The sequence below is a fragment of the Homo sapiens genome, chromosome 3, assembly GCF_000001405.40.
Source record: "Homo sapiens chromosome 3, GRCh38.p14 Primary Assembly".
Lineage (NCBI taxonomy): Eukaryota > Metazoa > Chordata > Mammalia > Primates > Hominidae > Homo > Homo sapiens.
In genome coordinates this window covers 52,612,859-52,633,124 of record NC_000003.12, presented here as the reverse complement: position 1 = coordinate 52,633,124, position 20,266 = coordinate 52,612,859, and the positions used below count along the sequence as shown (strand labels likewise).

Below are 20,266 nucleotides of genomic sequence, written 5' to 3'. Positions count from 1 at the left end.
AATGGGTATAGAGTGTCAGTCTTACAAAATGGAAAGAGTTCTAGAGATGGATGGTCATATTAATTGCATAGCATTATGGAAGTATTTTATACTACTAAACTGTACACTTAAAAATGGTCAAGGTAGGCTGGGTGCAGAGGCTCACACCTATAATCCCAGCACTTTGGTTAGCCAGTGATTTGGTGGGCAAATCACTTGAGGTCAGGAGTTTGAGATTAGCCCGGCCAACATTGTGAAACCCCGTCTCCATTAAAAGTACAAAAATTAGCCAGGCGTAGTGGCAGGAGCCAGTAATCCTAGCTACTCGGGCGGCTGAGGTAGGAGAATTGCTTGAACCGGGAAGGTGGAGGTTGCATTGCAGTGAGTCTAGGTCGCACCACTGCACTCCAGCCTGGGTGACAGAGTGAGACTCCATCTCTTAAAAAAAAAAAAAAAAAAGGTCAAGGTGGTAAGTTTTGTGTTATACCAAAATTTTTCAAATTGGGGGGGATAGTAACCTTTTCTTCAGTGCCCATTTTCTATCCATACCTCCCAATATCAAATTTGCTTTTTTCTTTTTGTTAAAGAGACAGGGTCTCTGCTCTGTTGCGTAAGCTGGCATGATCAACTCGAACCTCTGGGCTCAAGGGATCCTTCTGCCTCAGCCTCCCAAGTAGCTGGGACCACAGACACATGCCAACATGCCCAGCTAATTTTTTTAAATGTTTTTGTAGAGACCAAGTCTTGCTTGTTGCCCAGGTCTTGAATTTCTGGCCTTAAATAATCCTCTCACCTCAGCCTCCCAAAATATTGGGATTCCAGGTGTGAGCCACCATACCCGGCCTTTTAAAATCTCTTCTGTGAAAGCTAAAAAAAATCCATAATGTCATGGAGTATATTTTTGGACTCTGTATGATATCTCTGAAAGTCAAAAATCCTGATTTCCAGACAGACACAAAATTCATGAGCTTTTAATTTATTTTTAAATAGATCCTGACCTAGTTTCTGTTTCTGTAAAAACAGCAGGGTCTCAAAGAGGTATTTGTAAACCTGTGTTCACAGCAGCAGCATTCACAATAGCTAAAATTTCTGTTTCTATAAAAAGCAGAATAGGTGACCATTCCCAAAGAATCATAAAAATTCAAAACATTCAAAAGAATAAATATCTTTAAGGAAAGTTAACCAAAAATCTTAAGTTGGAATCAAATGAATGTGTTCAAAATCACTTGGTTTGCCTTCCATCTTTGAATCAGTCTCTGTGAATTTTGATATTACCTGTACATTCCAAGCTCCTTTCTTACATTACAAATTTTCAAAGATATTTATTGCTTTCAGGAAATCAATAAAAATTCTTAGACTTTTTGGTATAAAGAACAGAAAAATAGTTTAATTGGTCCCGCTGTGCCTTCTTGTTTATTTAAATTAAAAATAAACTTAAAAATATCAAAAGTTGGCCAGGCGAGGTGGCTCACATCTGTAATCCCAGCACTTTGGGAGGCTGACGTGGGAGTATCACTTGAACATGGGAGATGGAGGTTGCAGTGAGCCAAGATCATGCTGCTGCACTCCAGCCTGGGTAACAGAGTAAGACCCTGTCTCAACAAAAAGAAAGAAGTAATATTATAAAATATGATGCTTTATAGTAGAATACCCAGATAGAGTCAAGAAGCAGGTAAAACTACCTTAGCTAAGTAACAGTAAGTTGGCTTCATGGCAGATATTTAATGTGCTTGCTGGATTCTAGGAAATAAGGCTGGCTAACAAAGTATGTTTCATGCTTTTGCATTTGTAACTTTTGTTTTCACCATTTGATCAGTAATAATTTTTTTTTTTTTTTAATAGAGAAAGGGTTTTGCCATATTGCCCAGGCTGGCCTCAAACTCCTGAGCTCAAGCAATCTGCCCGCCTTGACCTCCCAAAGTGCTGGGATTACAGGCGTGAGTCACCACGCCTGACGTTGATCAGTAGGATTTATGGTGCTTTTATTTAATCCAGACTTTGGAGGTCCTGTATACAAGTAGGATACAGAAGATTAGTTTTTTTGGTCTTATTAAAATAACATGGAAATTAAGGCTGAGATTCATTACAGAAATAGCCTAGAAATATGTCTTTTATATTCTTTGCGTTGGGAAAAGATAGTGATAGTCTTGCAGATGTTAAGAAGTTCCCTGTCCAAAATTTTGAACAATTTTTGTTCTTGGTTTCCTTTCTCCTTCATTATTATTTTTAAATTATTTAAATAGTCTATTACAGTAGCTTAGTTCAAAAGAAGACAAATTCTTAGCCAGCTCAGTCCCCTGCCAACACAGCCTTCTTCCAAGTTGAAATTTTCTAATATAAACTTTGCTTTAAGTCAGTAATATCTCCCCTCCCCTTTCTAATTTATAATGGCAATTGTGTGGCACACAGGGGAGAGTAAGGAATAGGGAAGTTGTTGAAGCCCAGCACACTAAAGTTCTGAAGGGTAAACTATTATGTCTAATGTTGCTGCCTTCCGCGGATTGTGAGCCAGTGGTGCCTGACAGGAGCCTTACTGTGCCTACGATCCCTTCCATTGTGGTCTACAGAGCAACAGGGAGGTCTAGGGGCAGTGCTATTCAACAGAACTTTCTGCGTTGATGAAAATGTTTTATTATCAATATTCCAATGTGATAGACACTAGTCATATGTGGCTATTGAGCACTTGAAATGTGGCTAGTGTGATTAAGGAATTAGATTTTAAGTTTTATTTAATTTTAATTTAAATAGCCACACATGGCTAGTGGCTACTATATTGTACAGTGTACCCCTAGGAAGATCTATTGGCAGAAGGAAGATAGTTGAGTTTCCCCAAAAGCAACAAAAATGGAAGAGTAAGCAGGAACTAGACAGTGTGGACTCCATATGCTACCTTCTGCTGTACTGGGATTTGTCCCCCCTATTTTTTTTTCTTTTTCCTCCCCCACTACCCTTGATTAATAGTAATCTGATAAATATCTGCAGGTTTATTATTCGTTGTCATTTGCAAGTTTGGGTTTTCTGTCTGTTTGAGGGTATTGAGAACATCTAGCCCTCTACCCTTTGAGTTGACGGGAACAAGTCTGAGGCTGTAATTTGAACTCTAGGTGCTAGCTACACAACCTGGTACTGAGAGCTGAATTTGTGCTTAGTTGTTGTTTGCTTTGTCACAGAGATGTTCTCTAATATTCATCTGTTGGAGCACAACACAGAATCTGAATATGATTTTGGTAAATTTTAAATAAAACTTTACATGCAGATGCCATTCTAAGAGAAAATTCACTTATTCTGTGAAGCTGTTTATACATATTATTGTTAACTGTCTTTGTGATTTTGATGGTTAACGTGCAAATGCTACAATCAAAAGATTTAAAGTCTGTCCTGTCTAAATCCATATAGTGTTACAGCAAATAGTGACTCTACTTTGTACAAAGTACATAAGGGCTTTATGATAGTTGATACAATAATAATGATTGTGTTTAAGTGAGATACTTGGAATCTTAAGACTTTTAAGTAAAAATCCCAGCTTTAAGCTGCCAAGTTATTATGTGTTTATATTGGAAGAATAGAAATGAATGGACTCTGACATATCTATCTCTCTTTTACCATCATAAGACCACTCTTTATTGTTTATAAATACTTTGCACTGTCAGTACTGTCTCTTTAACCCTTATGAACTAGAATGGCCTTTTATTTTCAGAAATGGGTAGATCACCATGATTGTTCATTGAGGTCACTTAAAACCTCCCTAATTTTCGTCCCTTCATAAGGTTCACGTATGAACTATTAGGATTTTTCCATTAGGGTTTTTTCCAAGTAGAATGTTTGCTTTGTAATTGTCTTCTTTGCTAGGTCTTTACTAGGTCTTATTATTATTTCTTATAGTGTTTTAGTTTATTCTTTTGGATTTTCAAGTAAACTGTCATATTACCTTAATGTAATGGTGCTTTTGCCTCCTTACTTTGTATCTCAAAAGTCATTTTTAAGTTCCTAATCAGTATTACCAGTAAAGATACCATGTAGTGCTTGTCAAGATTTTGCATTGGACTTTCAGGAAGAATGTTTCATAATTTTCATGACAGAAAATTCTAGCAATTTCTTTGTCTTTCACAGAACAAAACTGAAGAATCAAGAATATGAAACTTTAGATCATTTGGAGTGTGATCTGAATTTAATGTTTGAAAATGCCAAACGCTATAATGTGCCCAATTCAGCCATCTACAAGCGAGTTCTAAAATTGCAGCAAGTTATGCAGGTGTGATTTATTGTTTTTGCTGAGTTTGTTGTATATATGATTAAAATAATTTTGCATGTTTTGAGTGTGTTCTAGTAAGATGTGTGATCCCCCCCACCCTCAGCAGTAATATTACATCATTTGGCTGGGTGCGGTGGCTCACACCTGTAATCCCAGCACTTTGGGAGGTCAAGGTGAGAGAATCACTAGAGCTCAGGAGTTCAAGACCAGCTTGGGCAACATAGCGAGACCCCCATCTCTACAAAAACTGCAAAAATTAGCCAGTCCTGATGGCACACGCCTGTAGTCCCAGCTACTCAGGAGGCTGCGGTGGGAGGGTTGCTTAAGCCTGGGAAGTGGAGGTTGCAGTGAGCCGAGATTGCACCACTGCACTCCAGCTTGGGCAACCAAGTGAGACCCTGTCTCAAACAAACAAACAATATATATAATATATATATAAAATATGTATTTTATATATTATACTTATGTATTATAATATATATTTATTATGTATTTCATCCTCAAGTACTGCTGAATTTTTTTTTTTTTTGGAGTTGTCATGGCCATATAGAGTAGAAATAATAATTGAGATGGGGTTAGCCTTCTGATTGGAGGAAGCAGGGATTGGTCCCTGTACAGTAATTTTGGGATTCTCATGAAGTCACCCTGCAATCACCGATGATATTCCATCATTTAGATTTTATTCCTTTGGTTCTAGACTTTGTTAAAGTAGGGCTGATTCTATCAGAAAGGACATCTGAAAGCAAATTAATCTTTGTATATTGTCTATGAATTTATCAGATCCTCTCTGAGAACCCTTGGAAGGATGTCTCAGGTCATGGTTCATCTAGGGGTTTTAAGATGAAAAGGTAGATATGAAATACAAATTGGGTCTATCTGACAGTTTTTGGTAGAATCTTTCTGGAAAGGCAAATCTCTGAACAATGAAGCAACAAAGGCAATTTTAGATCACCCATAGAATCTTCATTTTATATGATTAACAGTGAACCTTAGTGCTGAGACTTTCAGGTATTATTACCTTTTTAGTACTCTGTACATTCCCTAAGCCTGCTGTGCTTGGACTTTCAGCTCTGTTTGGCAGAAGGCCTTTAAAAATGCATGTGTTGAAAAGTAGATCTTTCACTTCTTGCATTAAACTTTATTCTTAGCCACACTGCCCCTTAGAAGTCAGGAGTACCAAAGGCCCTCTTTGAGTTGGTTTTACTTAAATAGGACAACCAGAGCAGGATGCTTCTACAGCTTGCCTCAGTGCTTTTAACCAGTTAGCACCCATTATAGTCATAAATGCTCTGCTGGTATTGACTCCTCAACCCTGTAGAACCATTTTTTAACCTACTCTTTTTGTCATGCAGGCTTTTGTTAAAATTGGTTATTGAAAATGTTTAATGACTCTTTCATTTTGTACATCCTGCATGTGATTGTATTTTTCTGAGTGAATCTGATATGTCTAGCTCTTTAACATTCATATATTCAGAGGAGTGTTTGGCACATGAGCTCAACTCCTGAGATCTGCTCTGTTTTAGGCAAAGAAGAAAGAGCTTGCCAGGAGAGACGATATCGAGGACGGAGACAGCATGATCTCTTCAGCCACCTCTGATACTGGTAGTGCCAAAAGAAAAAGGTATATACTCTTCTTATAGCTGGGGACATCTCAGTTCCTGTTAATTTTGTTTTAGATAAGTGAAGAAAATATATATTTTTTAAGCTATCAAGTTGTAAGCTTTAAATAAATGGTAATGTGTTCTCTTTTAAAATTCATTTGCAATTGGATGATTAGCTTTTTTTTTGTAAAAGTGCCATGTTACTTTTAGATGACCCAGATGAAAATGACTACTACATATGTAGCTTGGCAAAACATGTTATTCCGTTTGCCGTCTGGGTTTTTTTTTTTCTTTTAATGTGGCATTTTAAGAATGCCACTTAAATCTAACTTGGGTAATTTCTACATGGTGAATTACAAAAATGCAATTTGAATTAGGAAAGGTAAGGAGAAATTTGATACTACCACTGCAGTGAGGTATGCCATTGGTCCTACCCTTTGTTTGTCCTTGTTCACCTCATCTTTATTTGCCATTTTAAGCATGTCAGATTATAAAATAACAAATCATAACTTCTTATAGCTCATAAAATGTTGAGCTAGATTTTTGGGGTTTTTTTTCCTATATAACCTTTCTCTCAACTTCCCTAACCGTTTCTCCTTCTCACGGGTTTTGTGGAAGGGGATCTTACTGTGAGATTCCAAAGCTGGGATCCTATAAGGAATTTTGCAATATTATCTCTCGCCACACAAAGTTTCTCTCGCCTGATCATTGTGGAACACTGTATTGTCCTTTAATCATGACTGCCTCACCATCTTTGCAGCAACAGTCAATCCAGGGAAGATACCTTCAATAAGGAATAAGCTAATCACTAATAGCAAGGCTTGGCAGATTCAAAGTTGAATGAAGTCTTTAGTAACTGTTGACACAGTCTATACATGCATTAAGAGATCCACTAAGAAGAATTTAAAAAGTAGTTTAGAAAAGAGGAGCTGTCCTGCTTTCCTTCTTATAGATAGCATTTTGGAGAATTTTTTAAGCTTTACCATGGTAACTAAATTGATCAGTATACCCTGAGATGTGAGTCTCCTCCATTACTGGCCTATGAATTTCATCCTTCCAAGTTCTTAATTCCTTGTTATACCAGGGACAATGGAGGAAAAGTGTGAAACCAGATCAAAGACATCAAATCAAGAACAAGAACAACTTTGAGTGTAAATATGTAACTCTACTGCAGCATCACCTGTGTTTTCCAGATCAGTCACCTATCAAAGATAAAAACTTATCAGGCAAAAGAAGGTAATGGAGGCAAAAGTGATGGTACAATTAGTGCCAACACTGGATGAAAAGAAAGATCTTAAATTAGTTGAGTATTAAGAAAACAGTTCCAACGAAGCATTAGCCCAGGCCAGATACTCGAAAATTACATACCTGTGTGGCTAGTAGTCTGTGGGACACTCAAATAAGCTAAAGTTTTTGGCCAGGCACAGTGGCACATGCCTGTAATCCCAGCATTTTGGGAGGCCGAGCCAGGTGGATCACTTGAGGTCAGGAGTTTCGAGACCAGCCTGGACAACGTGGTGAAACCTCATCTCTACTAAAAATACAAAAAAATTAGCCAGGCGTGATAGTGGGCACCTGTAATCCCAGCTACTCGGGAGGCTGAGGCAGGAGAATCGCTTGAACCTGGGAAGTGGAGGTTGCAGTGAGCCGAGATTGTACCATTGCACTCCAGCCTGGGTGACAAGAGCAAAACTCTGTCTCAAAAAAAAAAAAAAAAGTTAAGCATTATGTTCTTAATTTAAAAAAATCTTACTTCAGACAAAAAGTCTCTTTACAAACAGGTTTCCTAGGAAGTGTTTTGTACAAATGAAGTGAAAAACACAAATAAAAGAACAATATAAATCATCCACTAAAAAAATAAAAGAATCTGAGTTTGAAATGTAGACATGAGTGGACGTTAAAAGATTGAAAGGATTAAGTCTTATACTTTGGACTATGAAAAAGGAAATAACACGATCAGTCATGTTGAGAGGTTTTGGTAATAAGAGATTTCTTCAGAAGTCAGGCAGACAGTAGCCTAGAAAATTAAGCTAATCTTGGCCACAGAAGTCAGGGCTAAGTTTTCCAAGTACCACTTGACTTGACTTCTAAGTGCTGTGTATGATTCTGCCTTCGCCTTTTTTTTAATACTAAAGAATGTGAGAAAAATTGATTGTGGGTATATTCTCTTCATTCTGGGGGTGCATTCTTTCTGCCAACATCTGTCTTCCTTGTTGAAATGTTTCAAATATTGTCTTTGGTACTTTGGACTGAATAATCTTTTTCTTCAACCATACATGGTTTGTACATGACCCTCCAATGTTGCTTGTTTTGTTTCTCTTTACATGTAATGTTTGTTTCTGCTTTCCCAGGAACACTCATGACAGTGAGATGTTGGGTCTCAGGAGGCTATCCAGGTGTGCAGTCCTTTTTTATGCATAAACATTCTTTTAAAGTGTATCTTCTGTGGCATGATCAGTACTGATTAGGTGAAAAGTGAAGCCTTAAGCATGTGAAAAAAAGTCTTTATTGGGGTGCCAGTTTATTTTATGAATAAAGAAAGCAGTACAGTTTAAAAAATCTTGTTAGCAAAATAAATTCAGAATTAACCTAGTTCAGAAGTAGCCTTAATTTGTTGCTAGCTTTGCCAGGGACAGAAGGCCCCCTCACCAATCATTGTGGCTGTGTTTCTGTAGCAAAAGGTAGAAGGTGGCAGTGCTGGTGCAGGACTGGCAGGTGCTGATTCCCTTTCAGGGATGCCTTTTACAGATTGAGGGTGGTGGAGGGATCAAAATCAGCTTCACAGTCTGAGTGACATCAGTGCATGTGGACACCTATGCATTGGGTCAGTGCTTCTTGAGCATGAATACATTTCCTCAGTCTCTGATCTTGTTCATGTCTTTTATAAAAAGCATTCTTTTGCATGTTACTTATGATTTGAAAACAACCTATGTAATAATTGTGTAGTGCTTTTGTTTTCACATTTGCCGTCTGACATTCACAGAGTATCAGTTGCTTATAGAACACTAAACTCTGCTCTTACAGTTTATAAAGGAGAACATTTAGTCATCTCTTTTACCTGCCAGGAACATATAGGCCAAGGAAAGAGGCAGGTTGAAAACAAATGAAGTCATTTGGAAGCAAGGTAGTAAAATAATTGCATAAGGTACACTACTAAGCAGTTGTATAGGATCATTGCATGATTGCCCAGATAGCTTTAGGAAAGATTATTTTCCTACCATACTTTCCCTTGAAAGTTGAATGTCTTGAGCTTCCCCAAATGTTACTACCATATGTATTCCACTCAGTAAAATTGCTATGTTATCATTGTCATCTTCCTAATATTTTCCTAAAGAAAAGTTTTCTTAATTAAATGGTAAATTTAAGAAAAAGACCATGGATTGTATTCTTTCATATCATTCATAATGTATGGCATTGAAACTAGGTGGTAGTGGAAATAGGAATAGGGGGCATCACTGGGTAGTGTTACAACCCTGAGTTCTAGAGCCTGACTGCCTAAATTCCAATCCCAGCTGTTCTTATTAGCTCTGTAATCTAAGCCTCATTTCAACTTTATCTGAAAAACAAGTTAATGACAGTACCTTCATAGGATTGGTGTGAGGATCCAGTTAGTTAATATGTTTAAAGCTCTTAGAACTGGGTCTGGATGCACTGAGTACTCAGTAAATGTAGCTGTTTATTTTCTTGAAGTAGCGCTTATTGACCTATTGACCTATTGACTTGGTAGATTTTGGTTTTGTTTTTAGTCAGATGTTACTTGTCTGGGAAGACTCATTGGAAAAGATGAATGAAAAGGTTTTATTTCTTGAAGACTTGAAGGTGAAATATAGCAAGCCTTGTAAAAGAAAGAACGTTTGGGTTTACTTAGCTTACTAGTAAGCACAACTGAAGCTCTTAAGGTGGGGGAGCTAAATGCTGGGACACCTTAAAGCCTGTAAACAGGGTTGACTTTGATTAGAGAGGCTGTTGGTAAGTGCCAGCTGTTATTTTTTAGGAAACAGGGTCTTGCTGTGTTGCCCAGACTGGAGTGCAGTGGCTATTCACAGGTGTGATGGTGGCACATTGTAGCCTCAAACTCCTGGGCTCATGTGATCCTCCCACCTCAGCCTCCTGAGTAGTTGAGACTATAGGCATGCATCACTGTGCCGGGCTGTGCCAACTTTTGGGAAAGGAAGGGACATAAAAGCAGCATGGTGATTATCAGCTGATTCAAATGTCTGTTCTGGTTGTTTACTTTATGGCCTTAGGTATTCATTTGCTGTCTCTAAGCCTCAGTTTTTACATCTGCATAGTTGGGGTAATAATTATATTTGATTCTGAATTTGAAGATTAAATGAGAGTGCATAGTGTTTAACATTTGGTAGAAGTATTAGTAGCTATAGTTTACAACTGTATATAAGAATTGTGTGTGTGTGTATTTGTAAATATTAGTATATATAAAAATAAATAGTAGCTTTAGAGGAAGAATATTGATAAGGGCATTTGACAAAGTGGTCAGCCACAAAGTATGAGAGCCAAGGACTTACATTGTGGCATGAAACATTAAAAGGAAAACAGGATGTAGAAGGGCTGTGGAAGTCTTCTAGAACTTGCTGATCAGCCAGGGGGAGAAAAAGTGACTGATTTAGGTGTTTCAGATTGGGTTGGGTTCCGGAGGATAGTGTCGATGGTGATCCTGGAAAATCACATTTGCCATCACACATCAGGGATTCAGAATAGAGCCTCTGCTAGTGCATAAACTTTGTGCAAATTAGAAAAAGCAGCCATTTCTCAAGACACTTGACTTGCATGAATTGGAAAATTGTTGTAATATACTTATTTTGATAGCACAGGACCCTTTATGTCCCATTTCCTATGAAATTCTAAAATTGTAGCGTACTTACTACAACAGTATCTATGATCTGAATTGTTGTCCTCCTAAGTATTTTTTTGTCTTTCTTTTTTTTTATTTTTTTGAGATGGAGTCTCTCCCTGTCTCCCAGGCTGGAGTGCAGTGGCACGATCTTGGCTCACTGCAACCTCCGCCTCCTGGGTTCAAGTGATTCCCCTACCTCAGCCTCCTAAGTAGCTGGGATACAGGTGCACGCCACCACACCCAGCTAATTTTTGTATTTTTAGTAGAGACAGGATTTGCCATGTTGGCCAGGCTGGTCTCGAACTCCTGACCTTAGGTGATCTGCCTGCCTCGGCCTCTCACAGTGCTGGGATTACATGTGTGAGCCACCATGCTTGGCCTTTTTGTCTTTTTTGAGACAGTCTCACTCTGTTGCCCAGGCTGGAGTGCAGTGGCACCATCATGGCTCACTGCAGCCGTGATCTTCTGGGTTCAAACAATCCTCCCACCTCAGCCTCATGTGTAGCTAGGATCACAGGCATGTGCCACCATGCCTGACTACGCTTTTTTAAAGAGGTGGTGTCTCACTGTATTGCCCAGGCTGGTCTCGAACTCCTGGGCTCAAGCAGTCCTCCCACTTCAGCCTCCCAAAGTGCTGAGATTACAGACAGGAGTTACCACACCTGGCTCCCCTTAAGTATTATGGCCCCTTGAATGCACAATGATGAACAGTCCTGATTTTGAATTCCTTTAAGATGTATTTTATACTTTAATATGCTTAAAGGTGCTGATTTTAAAAAGGAGAATGATTATGCCAGTTACAAGACCTGTGATTTAATTGTATGCCTTTTAATCAAAGGTAGTTAATTACTTTTCCAAAAATGGGGAAGAATAAAGAAACTATTCACAGTTAATGGTTTGAAGGAGGAGGAAAAGACATTGAGAAATTCTAAGAAAAATCTGAAAAGCAAAGTGACATTGAAAACAGTAGCCAGAGCTGGGGCGCAGTGGCTCACGCCTGTAATCCTAGCACTTTGGGAGGCCGAGGCGGGCAGATCATGAGGTCAGGAGATCGAGACCATCCTGGCTAACACAGTGAAACCCCATCTCTACTAAAAATACAAAAACAAAATTAGCCAGGCGTGGTGGCAGGCACCTGTAGTCCCAGCTACTTGGGAGGCTGAGGCAGGAGAATGGTGTGAACCTGGGAGGCGGAGCTTGCAGTGAGCCGAGATGGCACCTCTGAGACTCAGTCTCAAAAAAAAGAAAACAGTAGCCAGAAGTATCAAATAGGGCTCTGTCATGGTTATGTTTTGGTTATAGAGTTTATCTCATTTCAGAAAGTATTTTAAACTTTCAGAAGTCATGGATATAAGGCTCAGCCTCCATATTGGAAAAAGATAAAGCAAACATACCAGCTGCCCAACCTAATACAGTTATTATTATAAAAGAGTATGAAGTTGGCTCTGAGTTTTTTCTGGCAGCCGGATTAAAACTAATGGGCCAGTGGCTCTCAGTCTCTAAGGCACTGTAAGGATCTGGAAAAATGTAAATGAAAGATGAAACTGGATTTTTTCAGAGAAGGTCATAAGTGACTCTAGTAATAGAAATTTTGCTTTCTTTGAGGCTGGAAATCAATTACACATCCTTTACTTAAGGAATAAATGATACAAATGGAGAAAGGATGCTACTAGTAATATGAGTGCTAAAACAGTAAATTTCAGTTATTAGAGCAGTTTCATATATACAACTAGATTTCCACATTCTGGGTATGTCTCACTCAAAGCTGCCAAGTATCAGAATTACTGGCATTGGAAGAATGGACCGCTTGCCATTCTTTTACTTCACTGGCAAAATTTAATTAAAAACTTTCTCTCCTCTTATAAAAATCTGCCCTAGATTTACTCCCATCTGAGAGTATTTGCAGCTTCATACAGAAAAACCTAATGATAATTGGGCTTAGTGTGCTGAAACCCAGATGGGAATGGGGTGAGCACCTCCTGGTCCAGGTCAGGGCCTTGACTGAACTGTTAAGCTTCTTGAAATTGCTAGAATGAGGACTAATTTCATCCTGTCCTGTTTATTGGAGAGATCCTGTAAGCTTAGAGCTTCAGAATTGAATTCCTCTGTCTTCCTTTTAAAGTCCACCCCACATGCGAGATCTAATCAAACCACATCTGACTTCAAAGTCAGGTTCTGAAATTTTTCTTTAGAGACTTCCTGAAGGTTAAAGTCATCTGTGTTCTAATCTGTGCCCAGATGTGGAGCTCTGTGGTATTGGAGCTTTGTCCTAACTTCCCTTGTATTATCCACTTGCCGAAGACTTAGAATGAGAGAACTCTTCCTGTCACATCATTGCCCCAGGATGTCTCCTTGGAGAAGGAGTTTCCACTAGGTAAAATATCTAACAAACGTTTTGCCATCATCTAACAAACTTATCTAACAGAAAAAAAAGTGCTGAGGGGAGAAAATGGCAGGAATTGTCTGAGGTCCACAATGAGCAGGAAATAAGCAGTCAGAGTGAAGACACAAGTTATGAGGATGATCCCAACTCTAGCAGGAAACAGGCTCTTGTCTGTTTTTTTCCTAATTAAATCACTTTGTTTGCCTTGAGTTATAGGCATTTCTGAAAAGCCTAAAAATCTTAAGGATAGATGTTTATTTTCTCAACTGTTAATTCTTGATTTTTCTTTCTGTGTTTTAAAAAAGTGTATTTTGAACCTTGGAGAGAAAAGATCTGGCCTTTGGCTTCTTCATGACCCAGGAGTAGTGCAAGTAGTCAGGGGACTGGACCAGAAGACCTATACAGCCACATATAGTTTGCCTGAGGAATGAACTTTCTTCCACCTAAAGGATAGGGAACAGATACAAAATATTTACCTCTAAGTACAGTTGGCCCTCTGTATCCATGGCTTCCACATCCAGGGATTCAACCAACTATGGATAGAAAAAAAAATTTTTTAATTGCATCTTTACTGTACATGTACAGACTTTTTTTCTGTCATGTCCTAAGCAATACAGTGTAACAAAACAACTATATAGCATTTTTAATGTATTAGGTATTATAAGTAATTTAGAGATGATTTGAAGTATACAGGAGGATGTGCACATGTTATTTGCAAATACTACACCATTTTGTATCAGGGACTTGAGCATCTATGTATTTCGGTATACAAGGGAGATCCTGAAACCAATTCCCCATGAATACCAAGGGATGACTATACTATAGGACCTTAGTAAATATTTTTTTAATAGAAATTAAGTTGGCCAGGCGCAGTGGCTCACGCCTGTAATCCCAACACTTTGGGAGGCCAAGGTGGGCGGATCACCTGAGGTCAGGAGTTTGAGACCAGCCTGGCTAACATGGTGAAACCCCGTCTCTACTAAAAATACAAAAATTAGCCGGGCACAGCCGAGCCCGATGGCTCAAGTCTGTAATCCCAGCACTTTGGGAGGCCGAGGCAGGCGGATCACCTGAGGTCGGGAGTTCGAGACTAGCCTGACCAACATGGAGAAACCCTGTCTACGAAAAATACAAAATTAGCCAAGCGTGGTGGTGCATGCCTGTAATCCTAGCTACTCGGGAGGCTGAGGCAAGAGAATTGCTTGAACCCAGGAGGCGAAGGTTGCGGTGAGCAGAGATCACACCGTTGCACTCCAGCCTGGGCAACAAGAGTGAAACTCCATCTCAAAAAAAAAAGCAGGGCGTCGTGGCAGGCGCCTGTAATCCCAGCTACTTGGAAGGCTGAGGCAGGAGAATCGCTTGAACCCAGGAGGCAGAGGTTGCGGTGAGCTGAGATCGTGCCATTGCACACAAGCCTGGGCAACAAGAGCGGAACTCCATCTCAAAAAAAAAAAAAAAAAAAACTAAGTCATAAGTCATTTCTTGTTATTACCTACTTCACTGTTCACTTGGAGACTGCTGGTTAGTCTGACTAGAATTTCTTTATCTGGCTAGAATTTCTTTAGCCGTGCCCTGAGTACATAAGAATAGTTAACCGGAAGCCATATCGGAAGATCATTGCTTCTAATAATTTACTAGGAAACTTACCTTGGGCAAGTCTTTTACCCCCTCTGAGCCAGTTTTCTCAGCAATTAAGAGATAGACCATCTGCTCTCTTGGAGCCCTTTTGAACTCTGGATCTAATCTATAGTCCCTTATGCTTTGTTCCATACTGCTTAAATCAGCTTCTCAGCATCACATCTCACTGGGGGAATTTGGAGAACAAGACGGATTCATGCTCAAGGATGGAAATTTTACTCTAGAAAACTCAGATTAACCACACCGCTTATTCTTTAAAGTAGGTTGGAACTGTGGAATAATGCTGATGGAGAAAGCAAGGACGACCCTGACAGAATCAATGCAAGAGAGGCTCATACCCACTGTAAAGACACTAGTCTGGCAGTCTCCTTTTGTTTTCAGACAACCAAAATACACAAGTGTTCAGGAGTACTTGTCTTAAGAGATGAAACACTTCTCTTTTTAGGTTTTTTATTTTGTTTTGTTTTTGTACTTGGAAGTGAGGATATTATAACCGTAGAGAATTGCTAGTTTTATTGCACTTTGGCTGTACTCATCTTTAAACAAAAAATATATCTCAGTTGACTATATAATTTCATTTTCTTTTGGTATCAGAGAGGATCTTATTTCAAACATTGCATTTCATGACATATCTAAAAAGTTTTTTTGGTGTTCATTAACTGCTCCTGCCAGAATTACTGTGTTTTAACTATTTTGGAAATTTTCCTAATATTTGCTTATAACTTCCAGCATGGTTACTGTGTTTGTGGCATATGTAATCAATAAATTGTAATCATTATAAAGCACCATAAATAATTTGTTTTATTTTGTGGTCATCCGTATATTAAGAAAACTGAACCTATTCTAATTTTTCCCCTTTTCTACCTCCCCCTCAACAGTAAAAAGAACATAAGAAAGCAGCGAATGAAAATCTTATTCAATGTTGTTCTTGAAGCTCGAGAGCCAGGTTCAGGCAGAAGACTTTGTGACCTATTTATGGTTAAACCATCCAAAAAGGACTATCCTGATTATTATAAAATCATCTTGGAGCCAATGGACTTGAAAATAATTGAGCATAACATCCGCAATGACAAATATGCTGGTGAAGAGGGAATGATAGAAGACATGAAGCTGATGTTCCGGAATGCCAGGCACTATAATGAGGAGGGCTCCCAGGTAAGGAGGGCCAGCGGTCCTGAAGTAGGCACATTTTGCGGGAGAGGGGTACTTATAGAATAATGCATTTTGAGAGACCAGCTCTAGAGGCTTAACTTAGATTATTCTTTTTGGTGACTAGGTTAATTGATTTTTCTTCATTGTTTACAATCAGAGGCAGTACATTATAAAGATAAACGTTCCTACTTTGTAATCTGACATCCTAGATTTGAATTTTGCTCTGCCAGTCCCTGTGTAAGTAATTTATCCTTCCTGAGCCTCAATTTCTTCATCTATAAATTAGGGCTAATAATAGTACTTGCATCAGGGTTGTTGTAGGATTTAAAAGAGATAATGTATACTGAGCATTTAGCAGAGTGCCTGGTACTGAATAAGCACTCAAAGGAAAGCCAATAGTATTAAAATCTTTCATCATCATCATTACTACGATCCTCAACGACCATACTTCTCCAAAGACAGCCTATATAGAAAATGTATAATTATATAAAAATCAGCATGATAGTCCCATAAATGTACCTCTAAATAATTTATTTAATTGATTTTGCTACAGAGCATCTTGATTTTTTTTTGAGACGGAGTCTCGCTCTGTCGCCCAGGCTGGAGTGCAGTGGCGCCATCTCAGCTCACTGCAAGCTCCGCCTCCCGGGTTCATGCCATTCTCCTGCCTCAGCCTCCCGAGTAGCTGGGACTACAGGTGCCCACCACCACGCCCAGCTAATTTTTTGTACTTTTAGTAGAGATGGGGTTTCACCATGTTAGCCAGGATGGTCTTGATCTCCTGACGTCGTGATCCCCCTGCCTCAGCCTCCCAAAGTTCTGGGATTACAGGCGTGAGCCACTGCGCCTGGCCAAAGCTTCTTGATTTTTAGTTCTTTATCGTTGTAACTGAGATACAGTCTCCCTTCTTTGAAACTTTTTCTATTTGATATCTTTTTATCCACTTTACATCTCCCAGAAATAAAATAACATTTTTAAGTCATTTGTTTCCCTCTGCAATTACATTTGATTATAAAATAAAGTATGCATTGAGGATGCTTATAGATAAAAAAATGGTTCTATCTTAAGGGTTTACACAGTCCTCAGTGTCATTGGCTAATGTACCCCTTGTCTATCACTGGTAGAGGAAAAAGCCACCTTTAAGAGAGGTGGCCAGACAAGGGAGGTCACTTATTCCCTCAGCTCCTCTGCTTTGGTGGGTGGCCAAGGGAGGACATAGCATCTGCTGAGGAGGTAAGAGGAGGGGCTGTGGATGCAAAGCATAAGGTGAGTAACCTTATTCTTGACTACATATTACCACCCTTGGCTCAGTCCTCAGAGAGAGATCCCTAAGCAAGGATAATTGTTTTTTTATAGATTAAGCTTCAGACTGTGAACTCAGATTTGGAATTTAAGATATTGAGATATTGCTCTCCAACTATCAGATATTTTTAGTTTCTAATTTCTATTGGGCTAAGTCTGCTACCTTGAGCGTCCAGTGGAGAAGAAAGGTTTTTGAAGAAAACAACACATGTAAATGTGTTTCAGGACTTTTGTTAAAACCTGCAGTGATTCTACTACAGTGGTTCTCAAACATTAACATGCATGTCTGTGCATTAGAATCACCTGGGAAGCTTAAAAACAAACCAGTTAAGGCCTAGGCTCTCCCACAGATAGAGTGATTTTATTGCTCTGTAGTGAGGCTGGTTTTGGTTTTCTTTAAGCTCCCAACTATCATAAACTGTCTTTTTAAAACTTCTTTATGGATGCATTTTATACCTTAATGAAAAGTTTTTAGAAAATAATTGAAGTATATTTTTGGAATGTAGGTTTATAATGATGCACATATCCTGGAGAAGTTACTCAAGGAGAAAAGGAAAGAGCTGGGCCCACTGCCTGATGATGATGACATGGCTTCTCCCAAACTCAAGCTGAGTAAGGCAGCCTCACACTTCATTATTTAGTTTAGTCTATCAAGAAGAGATTGCTGATTTTTCTGAAATAATATTTAATTAAATTATGAATATATTTGAACTCACTGTACTCCAGCATGGAGTTCTTTGTTCTTGTCAAGCCCTCTCATTTACTGTATTTTAAGTAGCTAAACTGTGACAAGCATATGGGGAGTAAAATATAATGTCAGAGGTTTTGTTTACTTTCTTAAATGCGTAGACATTTTGTAAATTTTAAATAGTAAGAATAGATTTTTCTGTACGTATAATGCTGTAAGAATATAGTAGCAGATTTTTTTTTCCTTGGTATGTATGTCTGACAATTACTAGAATTAAAAATGAATCCCAGCAGTTCCAACTGGACAGAATTTGAGGAGTTAGAGATGTCCAGCCACTGTACTATACTCAGCTATCATTTGAGTGTAGTCTGTGGTTGGTTGTTTTATTAAAAGTTGTAAGTGAAGGCCAGGAACAGTGACTCATGCCTGTAATCCCAACACTTTGAGAGGCTGAGGTGGGCAGATCACTTGAGGTCAGGAGTTCAGGACCAGCCCGGCCAACATGGTGAATCCCCATCTTTACTAAAAATACAAAAATTAGCCGGACATGGGGGTACATGCCTGTAATCCCAGCTCCTTGGGAGACTAAGTCAGGAGAATTGCTTGAACCTGGGAGGCGGAGGTTGCAGTGAGCCAAGATCACACCACTGTACTTCAGCCTGGGCGACAGAGTGAGACTCTGCCTCGGAAAAAAAAAAAAAAAGGGAAGAAAAAGGTTGGAAGAGAAGACAGGAAAAGTTATTAATACCATTAGATAAGAGATTTCTGTCTTCTTTAAAATGATGTAAATAAAATAGATACCAAGCAATTGATAATGATACTCATTGGAGCCATGTTTGCTGAAAAGGGGGAAAACAGACAGACTAGCTTTTTTGCTTTTTTTTTTTTTTTTTTTTTTTTTGATGAAGCATCTCGCCCTGTCACCCCGGTTGGAGTGCAGTGGTGTGATCTTGGCTCACTGCAACCTCTGCCTCCCAGGTTCAAGTGATCCTTCCACTCAGCCTCCCACATAGATGGGACTACAGATGTACGCCACCAGGCCCAGCCAGTTTTTTGTATTTTTAGTAGAGATGGGGTTTCACCATGTTGGCCAGGCTGCTGTCAAAACTCCTGACCTCAAGTGATTTGCCTGCCTTGGCCTCCCAAAGTGCTGGGATTACGGGTGTGAGCCACCCCGCCTGGCCCAGACTAGCTTTCTTATCTGAAATTACTATCAACTAAATTTGATAGTAGATTTGGGTATGATTTACTGCTAAGCGATGAATCCTTTTTAAGGCATTTGTCTTTTCATGGAATTGTAAAAGCATACAGAAGGTTTGCAGAAATGTAAAACTTTCATTCCACTTTGTAGGAACACAGTAACTTTTAAAGTTCAGGAAAAAGGGGCTTTTTATGTGGGATGTTAATTTCCTTTTTATTTCTTTTGTTTGTTTGTTTGTTTTAAATTAATAGAGGCAGGGTCTCCCTGTATTGGCCAGGCTGGTCTTGAACTCCTGGGCTCAAGCGACCCTCCTGCCTCTGCCTTCTAAAGTGTTGGGATTACAGGCATGAGCCATGGTGCCTGGCCTCCTTTTTATTTCTCTGTGTTTTTTAATGAAAAATATCAAAAATATATAAATGGAAAGTACAGTGGCCAGGGGTGGTGACTCGCTCCTGTAATTCCAGTGCGTTCGGAGGCCAAGGCAGGAGGATCACTTCAGCCCAGGAGTTTGAGACCAGCCTGGGCAACATAGGGAGACCTTGTCTCTACAAAAAAATATAAAAAATTAGCCAGGCGTGGTGGCACATGCATGTACCTGTGGTCCTAGCTATTTGGGAGGCTGAGGTGGAAGGATTGCTTGAGCCCACGAGGTCAAGGCTGCAGTGAACCCTGATCATGCCCACTGCACTCCAGCATGGGCAACAGAGCTAGACCCTGCCTCCAAAAAAAAAAAAAACAGAATAGTCCAGTGAACCCCTGTATATACTTGTTACCCATCATTTGTCAAAATCGTGGCAAACTTATTTCCTATCCCCTTTTTCTTCTTCTTTTCCTAAATTATTTTAAAACAAATCCAATCATGTCATTTCACTTCCACATAGTTCAGTATGCATCTGTAATATGTGCAGATATCTGCCACTTTGTCTTTGAGGATAAAACAAATAAAAATAAAATAAAATATGCAGACATTTTCATAAATAACAATGAAGTAATTATCATACCTAACAAAATTAGCAGTAATTTCTTGGTTTCATCTAATACTTGATAAATTATCAAGTTCTTCTGATTGTCTCACAAATGTATTTTTATAGTTGATTTCCTCAAATCAGACTCTCATTAAGTTCTATATAATAAATTTGATTATTATACTCTTTTTTTTTTTTTTTTTGAGACGGATTCTCACTCTGTTGCCCAGGCTGGAGTGCAGTGGCACGA

General features: G+C 39.0%; 1 protein-coding gene across 160 annotated transcripts in view; it reads left to right on the top strand.

Annotated features, from left to right (window-relative positions):
* PBRM1 (polybromo 1) overlaps nt 1–20,266 on the top strand; it is a 140,547-nt gene that overhangs the window by 52,789 nt on the left and 67,492 nt on the right. For 122 of the 160 annotated variants that reach the window (NR_174502.1, NM_001405585.1, NM_001405555.1 and 119 more), the window contains 4 exons: nt 4,090–4,231; nt 5,755–5,852; nt 15,587–15,863; nt 17,669–17,774. Coding sequence is in view for 156 of the 160 variants with exons in the window: in NM_001405585.1 (NP_001392514.1) it covers nt 4,090–4,231; nt 5,755–5,852; nt 15,587–15,863; nt 17,669–17,774 (623 nt within the window). In the remaining 4 variants the exon portion in view is untranslated. Of the gene's footprint in view, nt 1–4,068; nt 4,232–5,754; nt 5,853–8,183; nt 8,229–15,586; nt 15,864–17,668; nt 17,775–20,266 lie in introns of all 160 variants that reach the window. The other 38 variants (NR_175959.1, NM_001405601.1, XM_047448460.1 and 35 more) reach the window with 3 other exon arrangements.